This window comes from Homo sapiens, chromosome 8 (assembly GCF_000001405.40).
Source record: "Homo sapiens chromosome 8, GRCh38.p14 Primary Assembly".
NCBI lineage: Eukaryota > Metazoa > Chordata > Mammalia > Primates > Hominidae > Homo > Homo sapiens.
This window is the reverse complement of record NC_000008.11, coordinates 39,160,870-39,176,038: the sequence shown is the minus strand read 5'-3', so window position 1 is coordinate 39,176,038 and position 15,169 is coordinate 39,160,870. Positions and strand designations below refer to the sequence as shown.

Below are 15,169 nucleotides of genomic sequence, written 5' to 3'. Positions count from 1 at the left end.
TAAGGGGGATATCACCACTGAACCCACAGAAATACAAACAACCATCAGAGAATACTGTAAACACCTCTATGCACGTAAACTAGAAAATCTAGAAGAAATGGATAAATTCCTGGACACATAACACCCTTCCAAGACTGAACCAGGAAGAAATTGAATCCCTGAATAAACAAATAAATGAGTTCTGAAATGGAGGCAGAACTAATGAATAGCCTATCAACCAAAAAGAGCCCAGGACCAGAAAAATTTACAGCTAACATTCTACCAGAGGTAGAAAGAAGAGCTGGTACCATTTTTAATGAAACTATTCCAAACAATTGAAAAGAAGGGACTCCTCCCCAATTCATTTTATGAACCCAGCGTCATCCTGATACCAAAACCCAGCAGAGATACAACAAAAAAAGAAAACTTCAGGCCAATATCTCTGATGAACATCGATGCAAAAATCCTCAATAAAATACTGGCAAACTGAATCCAGCTGTACATCAAAAAGCTTATCCACTATGATCAAGTTGGCTTCGTCCCCAGGATGCAAGGTTGGTTCAACACACACAAATCAATAAATGTGATTCATCACATAAACAGAACTAAAGACAAAAACCACATGATTATCTCAATAGATGCAGAAAAATCCTTTGAAAAAATTTTCATGTTAAAATCTCTCAGTAAACTAGGTAGAAAGAATGAACATACCTCAAAATAATAAGAACCATCTATGGAAAACCCAAAGCCAATGTCATACTGAATGGGCAAAAGCTGGAAGCATTCCCCTTATAAACTGGCACAAGACAAGCATTCCCTCTCTCACCATTCCTATTCAACATAGTATTGCAAGTTCTGGCCAGGACAATAAGGCAAAATAAAAAAATAAAGGGAATTCAAATAGAAAGAGAGGAAGTCAAATTGTCTTTGTTTGCAGATGACATGATCCTATACCTAGAAAACTTCATCCTCTCAGCCCAAAAGCTCCTTAAGCTAATATGCAACTTCAGCAATGTCTCAGGATACAAAATCAATATGCAAAAATAACTAGCACTCCTACACCAACAACAGAAAAGCAGAGAGTGAAATCATGAATGAACTCCCACTCACAGTTGCTACAAAGAGAATAAAATACCTAGGAATACAGCTAACAAGGGAAGTGAAGGACCTCTTCAAGGAGTACTACAAATCAGTGCTCAAGAAAATTAGGGAGGACACAAACAATTGAAAAATATTCCATGTTCATAAATAGAAAGAATCAATATCATGAAAATGGCCATACTGCCCAAAGCAATTTATAGATTGATTCAATGCTATTTCCATTAAACTACCATTGACATTCTTCACAGAATTAGAAAAAAAAACTATCACACTCTGGGTACTGTTGTGGGGTCGGGGGAGGGGGGAGGGATAGCACTGGGAGATATACCTAATGCTAGATGATGAGTTGGTGGGTGCAGCGCACCAGCAAGGCACATGTATACATATGTAACTAACCTGCACATTGTGCACATGTACCCTAAAACTTAAAGTATAATAATAAAAAATAAACAAATAAATAAATAAATAAGGAAACTGAGGCAAAAAAAAAATCATATGGAACCAAAAAAGAGTTCAAATAGCCACAACCATCCTAAGAGAAAAGAACAAAGCTGGAAGCATCATGCTACCCAACTTCAAACTATACTACAAGGCTACAGTAACCAAAACAGCATCGTACTGGTACAAGAACAGACACATAGACCAATAGAACAGAATAGAGAACTCAGAAATAAGACCACACACCTACAACCATCTGATCTTCAACAAATCTGACACAAACAAGCAATGGGGAAAGGATTCCCTATTTAATAAATGGACCTGGGAGAACTGGCTAGCCATATGCAGAAAATTGAAACTGGACTCCTTCCTTACACCTTATACAAAAATTAAGTTGATTGGGCATGGTGGCTCACGCCTGTAACCCCAACACTTTGGGAGGCCAGGGCAGGTGCATCACATGAGGACAGGAGTTGGAGACCAGCCTGACCAACACAGTGAAACCTTGTATCTACTAAAAATACAAAAATTAGCCAAGTGTGGCAGTGCACGTCTGTAATCCCAGCTACTGGCAAGTCTGAAGCAAGAGAATCGCTTGAACCTTGGAGGCAGAGGTTGCAGTGAGCCTAGATTGTGCCACTGCACTCCAGCCTGGGCTACAGAGTGAGACCCTGTCTCAAAAAAAAAAATTAACCCAATATGGATTAAAAACTGAAATGTAAAACCCAAAACTATCAAAACCTTTGAAGAAAATCTAGGCAACGTCATTCAGGACAGAGGCATGGGAAAAGATTTCATGACAAAAATGAAAAAAGCAATCATAATAAAAGCAAAAACTGACAAATGGGATCTAATTAAACTGAAGAGCTTCTGCAGAGCAAAAGAAACTATCATCTGAGTGAATAGACAACTTACAGAGGGGGAGAAAATTTTTGCAATCTATCCATCTCATAAAGGTCTAATCTACAGAGTCTACAAGGAACTTAAACATATTTACAAGAAAAAAAATTAAAAAGTGGACAAAGGACATGAACAGACACTTCTCAAAAGAAGACATTCATGTGGGCAAAAAACATGAAAAAAAAAAACTCAACAGCACTGATCATTAAAGAAATGCAAATTAAAATCACAATGAGATACCACCTCACTCCAGTCAGAATGGCGATTATTAAAAAGTCAAGAAACAACAGATGCTGGCAAAGCTATGGAGAAATAGGAATATGTTTGTTTTGTTTGGTTTGTTTGTTTGCTTGTTTGTTTTTGAGACAGAGTCTCCCTCTTGTTGCCCAGGCTGGAGTGCAGTGGCACGATCTCGGCTTACTGCAACCTCTGCCTCCCAGGTTCAAGTGATTCTCCTGCCTCAGCCTCCTGAGTAGCTGGGATTACAGGTGCCTGCCACCATGCCTGGCTAATTTTTGTATTGTTAGTAGCGACAAGGTTTCACCATGTTGGTCAGGCTGGTCTCAAACTCCTGACCTCGTGATCCACCCGCCTCAGCCTCCCAGAATGCTGGGATTATAGGCGTGAGCCACTGCGGCCGGCCTGGAACATGTTTAGACTGTTGGTGGGAATGTAAATTAGTTCAGCCATTGTGGAAGACACTGTGGCAATTCCTCAAAGACCTAGAGGCAGAAACACCATTTAGCCCAGCAATCCCATTACTGGGTATATACCCAAAGGAATATAAATCATTCTATTATAAAGACACATGCACCTGTATGTTCATTGCAGCACTAGTCACAATAGCAAAGACATGGAATCAACCCAAATGTCCATCAATGATAGACTGGATGAAGCAAATGTGATACATATATAAATGTGATACATGTACACCATGGAATACTATGTATGCAGTCGAAAAAAGGAAAGACTTTGCAGGGACAAGGATGGAACTGGAAGCCATTATCCTCAGCAAACTAACACAGGAACAGAAAACTAAACACTGCATGTTCTCACTTATAAGTGGGAGCTGAACAATAAGAACACATAGACACAGGGAGGGGAACAACACACGCTGGGGCCTGTCAGGGGGCCAGGGAAGGGAGAGCACCAGGATAAACAGCTAATGTATGTGGGGCTTAATACTTAAGTGATAGGTTGATAGGTGCAGAAAACCACCATGGCACACATTTACCTATGTAACAAACCTACACATCCTGCATATGTACCCAAGAACTTAAACGCTGAAGAAAAAAAGTGCTTTCATTGATAAAATAGCTCAATGTTTGCAATTCATATACACTGTGTTAAAAAAAAAATCAAGAGTTATTCCAGAAAAGTAGTAAAAGATTCCAAGAAAAGGAAGATGGGATTTCATTTTCTGTGGCAGTTGGTTTCACCCATAACAAGTAAAAGAAGTTAGAAAAAAATTCAGTGCTCCATTAGATTCTGATGCCTAAAATGTCCTCCTTTGACCATCAAAGCTTTACTGTCATAAGAAATATTTATTTCTTTATTCAATAGTTAATATTATTTATATATTTATAATACTATAAAATGCTGTTTATTTATTTAATTCTTACATCAATCTCTAGACAAAGTGCAAAAGCCCTACAGAATTAGTTATAAATTATCTAAATATTGACAATGGGTATAAGAAATATACAACTACATTACACCTCTTACTGTTCACAGCAAGCAAACAGTGGACATTGTTTAACATATATATAGATATTACATAAAATTAAAAATAAGAACCAATATTTAAATATATATATTTAAACATAAGCAACAAGTAGAGAGAGTGGACTCAACATATCAAATGTAATATTACCAATATTGTCTACAGTTTATAAATTAAAATAGAGGTAAGGGCATATATATTTTTAAATAAATAAATTTAACCAACAGAAGAACTTAAATGGAAATTATTAAATTCTTAAATAGGACTAAATGAAGAGGTAGACAGTTTTACTATCATTTTTTGCTTTGTATATCTATAGTTTAAACAATTTACCATGTGCATTCATTATTTCAGTAATAAAAAATGTTTAAGTATTAGAAATAAAAATAGGTGCTGCAAAATCACATTTTGCAAAAAAATATATATAGAGAGAGCTACAGTAACAGATAAACAGAGAAACACACGAAGTAGAAGATATACATGCAGGTGATATGTAATGATCAAATCAGGGTAACTGGGCTATCCATAACCTCAAACATATACCATTTATTTGTTCTGAGAACAATCCAAATCTTGTCCTCTAGCTATTTTGAAATATACTATAAATTATTGTTAATTATAGTCACCCTATTGTGCTATCGAATACTAGAACTGGCCAGGCATGGTGGCTCATGCCTGTAATCCCAGCACCTTGGGAGGCAGGCAGCACCGAGGCAGGCAGATCACTTTAGGCCAGGAGTTTGAGACTGTCATGGCCAACATGTTCAAAACCCTTCTTTACTAAAAATACAAAAAAGTTAGCTGGTTGTTGTGGGTCACCTCTGTAATCTCAGCTACTAGGGAGACTGAGACATGAGAATCGCTTGAACCTTGGAGGCGGAGGTTGCAGTGAGCCAAGATCAGGCTGCTGCACTCCAGCCTGGCATAAAAGCAAGACTCTGTCAAAATATATATATATATACTAGAACTTATTCCTTCTACCTGACTGTAATTTTGTACCCATTACTCAACTTCTCTTCATCTCCTCTTCCCCCTACCCTTCCCAACCTCTGGTAATCACCATTCTGCTCACTGCCTTTACATACAACTATTATGTGTCAATAAAAAAATGAATAACAGTTTCTAAAAACATGTTCTAAAAATTTTTTTATTTAAAACTCTTTTAAGAAAACAATAAGATATATATATCAATCAAAATGTTAATAGTGGTTATCTCCACCTGGTGGCAAAATGCAAAATTATATGAATTTTCTTATATGTTCCTATATATATATACTCAACAAATTTGACATCATTAACATAAATTACTTTGTAAGTTAAAAAAATAGTACTTAAACTTGTTTTTTTAAAAATGAGTAGGGTGAGAAAATGGCACAAAGAGATGCATCAACTTTTCAATAATGCATTTATTTTTACCCATTATATATATAAAATCACATTTATCCGTATTATAAATGCTTAAAATACACATAAAAGTTTATTTTACTGTCTTTCAGAGTTCTGAAACATCTTAAGGAATCCTTAATCTGGTTTTTGTTTTGATTTTGAATCTATTTTATCTATAAGAATATTTCTCCAATTTTATGTCTGTAAGCAAAAATCTATTTTGGGTTATAGAAATTTTACTGCAGATAATTTTTCACAATGCATTATTCTGTATATCAAGAACAGCATGCGTATTTATGATATTTTTATTCCAACTCTGAAACATAATTAATTGCAACAAGATATTGATCTACAAAATATTCTTCCTTCTACACACTTAAAAATTTTAACAGTAATGGAAAAAAATGCAATCTGTAAATGGAAACATGCACATAAATTGTACAAAATATATACTATCATGTCAAATAATTTTTAAACGTGTTAATTTAAAAAATAAGATTAAATAGTTACATACCAATGCAACTCCTGCAGAATAACGAGTAATACACATTGTTCCAGGAAACACTGCTCCCAAATAACGAGGATAATCCATATAACTAAATAAATAAATTTACATTTATAATTGATTTTAACAGACAATTTAAAAATGAGAATTCCTGCTAATAATTTAAGTCTGCAGTTCATAAAATCCAAATCTGAAGCAAATTGAGGTATGATCTTTCCATATGTCCTCAATTGTTTCAAATTTGGAATATTATTTAATATGACATATTAGTATTAATTAGATTAAACACTCTTGATATCTGAAACATATCTAATAGATCAAAGTTTTTAATGCCTTTAGTGTTCTCATCACATCTGGCTATGTTTGCCAAAGGCTTTGCTCCAATATTCTGATAAAAAATACTTTGTTGAGTGACAGTGACAAATCGTTTCAATGTATAGATTAAAATATGTTGCTCCCAGGTAGTAAAGTTCAACAGTTTCCAATAGGAGTGCTTTATTGTTTCACACCCAAACATTATTATTTCAGCCTTGAGTAAGGAGCCATTTAAACTGTCATATAATAATAGCACTATTCTCAGAACTTTACATTAACTAATCCATTTAACACTCAAAACAAACTAGTGAAGTAGATATTATTTTTGTCCCCATTGAGCAAATCAAGTATCAGATGCGAAGTATAAGTAACTCTCTCAAGGTAGCATGATTAATACGTCCTACTGAAGGATCTGAACTTACACAGTCTGAATCCGAGCCATATTCTCAACTACTAAGGTATAGATGCTCCAAGCATTTACTGCCTTATTTAGAGCCCCCACCAAAACGAATAAGCCAGGATGTGAGTAAAGAATCTTAAGAAGCTTGGAATTCAATTCTCAATTTGAAATGCCCCTTCTGTCTCAAGTGCACTTCACTTCACAATCGCACTGCCTCTCCACTACTTTTATTCTGTCTCTCTGATATTGTTTATACCTAACCCTTCCAGCATTTGTTTCCAAGTATTTGTTCCTAATGCCAAACATTGGTTTTATGTTCCAACATCTAAGTATTGTTTACTCTGTTTCTCCCTCCCACAGATACTTTAATAAGCCCTTTTTTTACAACTTAGACTTCCCCTAAAATTCTACACATACTCCTGACAAGCTCAGTAATATATTTTTTACCTCATACTGACACCTTTTGACGTGCCCACTCCACATCAAATCAGTTGTCAAGATCTACCACCTTGCTTTGTCAGTGTTTGTTTCCTTTCCCTCCTTCAAAGGTTCAGCTCCAGTTCTAACTATGAATTCCATACTCTATAAAAGGTAATAATATTAATCCTAAAGAAAACTCTAGCAGACTAAAAGTTGGGGGTGGAAGAGACCTTCTACACTATACAGGAAACCAAAAAGTAAGAAGAAAATATTAACAAATTTGGCCATATGAAATGTAAAAGTTTTCATGTAGTGTTGGGAGCCGAAAGCCTGAGGGTCATGACCAACTCAGCATTCCCCTGGAGGCTATATGATTAAACAGCAAACTGTTTATCATGAATGCATAATGTGGGCAAATTCACATCTGTGCCTGCCACCAGAAGGTATGCTGAGGGCAGTCACTCCCTGGTGCCGTGCTCCTTGAGGGTATCTACTGGAACATCTGGAGCCTACTGTTCAAAGAATGCAGTCATGCAGGCCTGCACTAAGTCAAGCAGCTGACCACAACCACCCCCTTCTCCCTATCTCCTTTACTCAATAAATATGAAGGGCTCTAGAAGTTCAGGGCCCCTGTTCACTAAAAGCAAGGAGCCCCCTGACCCCTTCTTGCAAATATATTCTTTTCTCTTTGTCTTTATTCCTGCATTCGTCCTCCTTTGTTCAGTCCAGCAAGGTCTGCTGCAATGTAGCAGAGAAAAAAAAGTTTATAGAAAAATTATAGATATGGAAAAAGTATTTGTCATAAAGATAAACAATGTTAGTATCTAAGCATTCAAAAAGCCCTTACAGGCATCCAAATCGGTAAAGAGGAAGTCAAACTGTCACGTTTGGTGATGATACGATCATTTACCTTGAAAATGCTAAAGACTCCTCCAGAAAGCTCCTAGATCTAATAAAAGAATTCAGCAAAGTTTCCGGATACAAGATTAATGTACACAAATCAGTAGTTCTTCTATAACACCAACAGTGATCAAGCAGAGAATCAAATCAAGAACTCAACCCCTTTCACAATAGCTGCAAAAAAATAAAATACTTAGGAATATACTTAACCAAGGAGTAGAAAGACCTCTACAAGGAAAACTACAAAACAATGCTGAAAGAAATCATAGATGACACAAACAAATTGAAACACATCCCATGCTCATGGATGGATCGAATCAATATTGTGAAAATGATATTGCCAAAAGCAGTCTAAAAATTCAATTCAATCCCCATCAAAATACCACCATCATTCTTCACAGAATTAGAAAAAAAATTCTAAAATTCATATGGAACCTAAAAACAGCCCTCATAGCCAAAGCAAGACTAAGCAAAAAGAACAAATCTGGAGCCATCACACTAACTGATTTGAAACTATACTGTAAGGCCATAGTCACCAAAACAGCATGATACTGGTATAAAAATAGGCATGTAGATCAATGGAACAGAATAGAGAACCCAGAAATAAACCCAAATACTTACAGCCAACTGATCTTCAGCAAAGCAAACAAAAACATAAAGTGGGGAGAGGACACCCTATTCAACAAATGGTGCTGGGATAATTCCCAAGCCACATGTAGGAGATGAAACTGGATCCTCATCTCTCACCTTATACAAAAATCAACTCAAGATGGATTTAACCTAAGGACTTAAACTAAGATCTGAAACTATAAAAATTCTAGAAGATAACATTGAAAAACCCCTTCCAGACATTGGCTTAGGCAAGAATTTCACGACAAAGACCTCAAAAGCAAATGCAATAAAAACAAAGATAAATAGTTGGGACTTAGTTAAACTAAAGAGCTTTTCACACAGCAAAAGGAACAGTCAGCACAGTAAACAGACAACCCACAGAGTGAGAGAAAATCTTCACAATCTATACATCTGACAAAGGACTAATATCCAGAACCTACAATGAACTCAAACAAATCAGTAAGAAAAAAACAAACAATCCCATCAAAAAGTGGGCTAAGGACATGAATAGACAATTCTCAAAAGAAGATATACAAATGGCCAACAAACATATGAAAAAAATGCTCAACACTAATGAGCAGGGAAATGCAAATCAAAACCACAATGTAAAACCACCTTACTCCTCCAATAAAGGCCATAATCAAAAAATCAAAAAACAGTAGATGTTGGTGTGGATGCAGTGATCATGGAACATTTCTACACTGCTGGTGGGAATGTAAACTAGTACAGCCACTATGGAAAACAGTGTGAAGATTCCTTAAAGATCTAAAAGCAGAACTACCATTTGATCCAGCAATCCCACTACTGGGTATCTACCCAGAGGAAAAGAAGTCATTAATTGAAAAAGATACTTAGACACGCATGTTTATAGCAGCACAATTCACAATTGCAAAATCATGGAACCAACCCAAATGCCCATCAATCAACCAGTGGATAAAAAAACTGTGGCAATGTGATGGAATACTACTCAGCCATAAAAAGGAATGAATTGACTGCATTTGCAGCGACCTGGATGAGATTGGAGACTATTATTCTAAGTGAAGTAACTCAAGAATGGAAAACCAAACATCGTATGTTCTGACCAATATGTGGGAGCTAAGCTATGAGGCAAAGGCATAAGAATGATACAATGGACTGTGGGGACTGGGGGGAAGAGTGGGAGGTGGGGCGAGGGATAAAAGACTACAAATATGGTGCAGTGTATACTGCTCAGGTGATGGGTGCACCAAAATCTCATAAATCACCACTAAAGAACTTACTCATGTAACCAAATATCACCTGTACCCCAATAACTTATGGGGAAAAAATATAAATATTAAAGATAATGAAATTATTTTTTAAAAACCCTTACAAATTATAGGGAAGTAGTCAAATGACAAGAAAAGGCAATTACAGAAGGACAGATACAAATGATCAACAAGCATTTGAAAAGATGCTCAAATCCACCAGTCATCAGAAAAAAAGCAAATTAAAATGACAATGACATTAAGTTATATCCATCAGACTACCAAAAATTAAAAGAGCAGTAACATTTATGGCTGGCAGAGATGTGAGGGAAAGATTAGTCTCACACAAGCAAAAGAAAACACTGACATACCAAACTTAAATACATATATAGACATGTATAGTTTCATTGAAAGACACTTGCTAATTATTGCTAATAAATTTAATATGAATACAATTATAAATATATAGCTATAATTTATAATTAGAAAACTAACATTTTAAAATTACTCAGAAAATTCATTAGGGTAAAGTCTTTGTAGCCACATTTACCAAGTCTTTGGTCAAAGCTTATTTAAGAATGTAAACCTCTCAAGATAAATCCCATCTCTTTAAGTAGTGGTTAAGAGTTTTGGCTCTAGAGTTACGAACTGTGGGTTCAAACCTAGTAGTACCACCAGATCCAAGAGTCCTGAGATGGCTTAACCTCTTGAAACTCTCAATGTCTTCATTTATAAAAGCTTTATTAGCATAGAAATAAATGTTAGTAAAGTTTTTTATTGCCTGACAACTAGAAATTGAGCATAAAGCCTGAATAAAGCACATACTAAATAATCAAAGCATGGATATTCAGAAATGAATAATAATTCCTTACATTAAGCCACATAATTATCACAGGTCTTTGTTTTCTTTCTAGGAATAATGAAACATTATTCTTACATTAGTAGATATGCAATATCATGAGGCCTTAGGTTAAGATAAGATTGTTTCCATTCTAAAAATTTTTGCAATAATTCATCTGCCTCACCAACTGTAGAAATCTTATTTTCATCTGACCATAACTCCAATGATGACAGCACAATAGTAACTTTAAATTGGGTGAACATCTAAAAACAGAAGAGATAAATACATGCATAATTAATATTTATGTTATCTTATAAAAACCCAGAAATTCAAAGTTTTTACAATCCCACACTCAGTTTATATGGGTGGGTTAATTATCCAGGAATACCGCATCAAGTTTAGGCAAATTATCATTTCAAAACAACAATTATTTTAATATGAAAAGGAAAACACTTACTGAATTTGCAAGGCCAACAATTTCGATGACTTTATTTGTTACTATCATGCTATCAGAGCCCCAGTAATCATACTGAAAAACAGAATTAATTTTATATTTAAGTACAAATTATTATGTAGTATTTTTAAGATTCTTTTCCATCTACTGTCAGAGGTGTAAGGCTGCTTTGGGTTTCAACAGTTCAAAATAAAACATTAATAAGTAAAAACTGAATATAAACTGGATCCCTCATGCATTGCTGATGGGAATGTAAAATGGTACAGCCACTCTGGAAAATAATTTGGTAACTTCAACTTCTTTGAAATCAAAACAAAGAATGGATTTACTATATGGCCCAGCAATCTCACTTCTGAGCATTTATCTCAAAAAACTGATCCTCACGCAAATACTTGTACATGAATGTCCATAACATCTTTACTCATAATAGCTAAAAACTAGAAATAACTCATATATCCTTCAGTGGTTAAATGGTTAAATAAACTGTAGTACATTCCTACCATAAACTCAGCAATAAAAAGAAACAAATGTTGATATATGGAACTGCCTGGATAAATCTCAAGAAAATTATGCTCAGCATGAAAACATAATCTCAAAAGGATACAGACTGCTTGATAACTTTATGCAATGTGTGTGAAATCACAAAGAAGGAGAATGGCTTAGTGGACACCAAAGGCTCAGAAGCGGGCAGGGGATCAGTGTGGCTCTAATGGGATCACACAGGAGAGTGCTGTGGTGATGGTACTGTTGAGTGTCTCAATTGTGGCAATGGTTATGGAAGGCTACCTATGTAATACCATTGCATAAAACTGTACATAAATGCACACACACAAATGAGTGTGTGTGTATGTATACATACATATACATCGCTCTTGAAATCTGAAAAACTGGATTGCAACTATGTCAAACTGTATATATCCATAGACAAACTCTCTATAGTACATCACCTTGGATGTTCCACAGGATCCTCAAATTATCCCAGAGTAAACTCATATCCAAAACTAAAATAAATATATTCAAAACTAAACTCATCGTCTTCCTTCAAAAATCTCTTCCTACTTATATTTTCACTACTTTAGTGAATGGTATTATTATCTAACACATCCTACATTTATTACACTACATGCTCCATGAGAGCGGAAATTGTTCTGTTTTATTCACTGCTATATCCCCAATGGCTAGAACAGCAACTGTTATCTAGATGATGCTCAATGAATTTGTTAAGTAAACGAATAAATCAATCAAATCAAGTTCTTCTAATTCAACCCAATCAGTAACTTTTAAAGTTGTTCCTTTATTTTTATTCTTGATGCCACTAATTTCTAAGTTTTCACCCTGATTACTAGAACAGTCTCTTAAAATTTGATTCCTCCTTCCCCAATTTTCCCACCAGCAATCTGGTCCCTACACTATTACCAAAATGATTATTCTAAGGTAAAATAGAAATATGTCACTCCCCTATTTAAAATATTTCAATGACATCTTCCCTCCTTCCCTTTGTGGGCCCTGAATGATGGAGAGTGCCCCCTACCATTGGAAACTGAGTAACAGCCTGTCTTTTCAATAGCAACCATCTACTGATCTGTTGGCTTCAATATACCTGAGTAGTAATAAAACCTACATTTTAAAACACCCACTTGGATGCTCTTATAGTATAACAACTTACAGTTGTGTTTCCATGTCTGTCTCCATTATTAAACTGTGTATATATAGAACCATATGCTTTCTACAATCATGGCAATGAATTCACTATGCCATAATTACGGATTTACAAATTATAAAGTCACTGAAGAAAATATGAATACTATGATTGTTTGTTTGTTTGTTTCTTTGTTTTTGAGATGGAGTCTTCCTCTGTTGCCTAGGCTGGAGGCCAGTGGTGCGATCTCGGCTCACTGCACCCTCCACCTTCCTTGTTCAAGCAGTTCTCCTGCCTCAGTCTCCTGAGTAGCTGGGACTACAGGTGTCCACCACCACGCCTGGCTAATTTTTGTGTTTTTAGTAGAGACAAGGTTTCACAATGTTGGCCAGGCTGGTCTGGAACTCCTGACCTCAGGTGATCCACCCACCTCAGCTTCCCAAAGTACTGGGATTACAGGCATGCACCACACCCGACCAAGGGTTTTTTTTTACTAAAGAATATGTAAAAATGTATAAGAACATAAAGAAGAAATGTTTAATCAGCATTATATGACTTGAAAACCTGGCAATTTGGAATCATCACACTGTCTTCCACAATGGTTGAACTAGTTCACAGTCCCACAACAGTGTAAAAGAACTAGAAATACCATTTGACCCAGCCATCCCATTACTGGGTATATACCCAAAGGAATATAAATCATGCTGCTATAAAGACACATGCACACGTATGTTTATTGCAGCACTATTCACAATAGCAAAGACTTGGAACCAACCCAAATGTCCAACAATGATAGTCTGGATCAAGAATATGTGGCACATATACACCATGGAATACTATGCAGCCATAAAAAATGATGAGTTCATGTCCTTTGTAGGGACATGAATGAAGCTGGAAACCATCATTCTCAGCAAACTATCGCAAGGACAAAAAACCAAACACCGCATGTTCTCACTCATAGGTGGGAATTGAACAACGAGAAAACTAGGACACAGGAAGGGGAACATCACACACCAGGGCCTATTGTGGGGTGGGGGGAGGGGGGAGGGATAGCATTAGGAGATATACCTAATGTAAATGATGAGTTAATGGGTGCAGCACACCAACATGGCACATGTATACATATGTGACAAACCTGCACGTTGTGCACATGTACCCTAGAACTTAAAGTATAATAAATATATATATATATATATATAAAATAAAATAAAAAAGAAAACCTGGCAATTTGGAGAAGCTTTTGAAACTACTCTCAAGATATATAACATAATCCAAAAACAAAAGGAGTTTCAAAATCCAAAATATTCCCTGGAAACTTAGTCATATTTATCAGAAATACTTCAATTTTCTCTCAACTATCTCAATGTCTCAATGTTCTCTTAAATGTTCCCTTTTCCCTTTTCCCTGTACTCTAATTAATCAAGTTATTTTCATCTCTTTCTCCAAATCCTGGTCCCTGACCTTAACTCTGGCTTCCTGACAAGCTCTAAACCCTAGGAATAGAATTGGTAAAGAGTATTAGTCATACCCGCTGTGGTATTCCATAGGTATACACAAATAAAGGCTTATCATCAGAATAAAACCTAGAAAGTATATTTTTAATCTCTATTTTCTGAAATCTTTCAACTATTAAAAGAAATAAAGACATACCTAGTTGACTGCAAACTAAGTTGTCACCCTAACGTTCTGAAATTCAGAGGCCTCAGACTGTTTATGGAAATTAGGAATCTCGAGGTACTCTTTTCAACAGGTAAACAATGGACTAGAATGGGTGCCCCACCAAAAACTGCTAAAAAACTTCTTGACACATTAGTGAAAGTCATTCTAGTAGATAGTTATACTATCATCACTTTTGTTCCAATAAATATTCTAGGGTGGAATGTTCCCTAGACTACATTCTGCTCTTCAAACTTCCCTAAAATAGAATTTCACTTCCACCAAAATCACCATTAAATGGTAGTATGGATTGAGAGGGACTCTAGAAATGTGAAGTGCCAGGGAAAAAAATACATTTTGTTCTGCAGTACTGTTGTGTAAGTATTTCAAATAAAACATTTCTGATAAAACTAGTATCATTTTGACTATTTAGTTTCTCAGTTTGCACATTTTTCCACTATTGTCTCTATGACATGTGAGTAAGAACATTGGAATCTTTTAGTTTCTGTCTAGCTAGCTAGGCATAATCATACATTTGGATCAAATATTTCAAAGCAAAGAAAAAGCAAAACACATACCAAAGTTTTGTCCACCACAATATGCATTTCTAGATAAAGAGGAAATAAATCTGGAACAGCTGGTTCTGACTAGAAAAAAGGAAAACAGCATATAAT

General features: G+C 35.6%; 1 protein-coding gene across 13 annotated transcripts in view; it reads right to left on the bottom strand.

Moving 5' to 3' along the window:
• The window catches only part of ADAM32 (ADAM metallopeptidase domain 32), a 177,389-nt gene that overhangs the window by 108,879 nt on the left and 53,341 nt on the right, over nt 1–15,169 (bottom strand). For 7 of the 13 annotated variants that reach the window (NM_001313994.1, NM_145004.7, XM_011544433.3 and 4 more), the window contains 4 exon segments: nt 6,042–6,123; nt 10,843–11,009; nt 11,204–11,275; nt 15,074–15,142. The exons of 1 other annotated variant lie outside the window; for it this stretch is intronic. In NM_001313994.1, coding sequence (NP_001300923.1) covers nt 6,042–6,123; nt 10,843–11,009; nt 11,204–11,275; nt 15,074–15,142 — 390 coding nt within the window. 13 annotated transcript variants of the gene reach the window in all.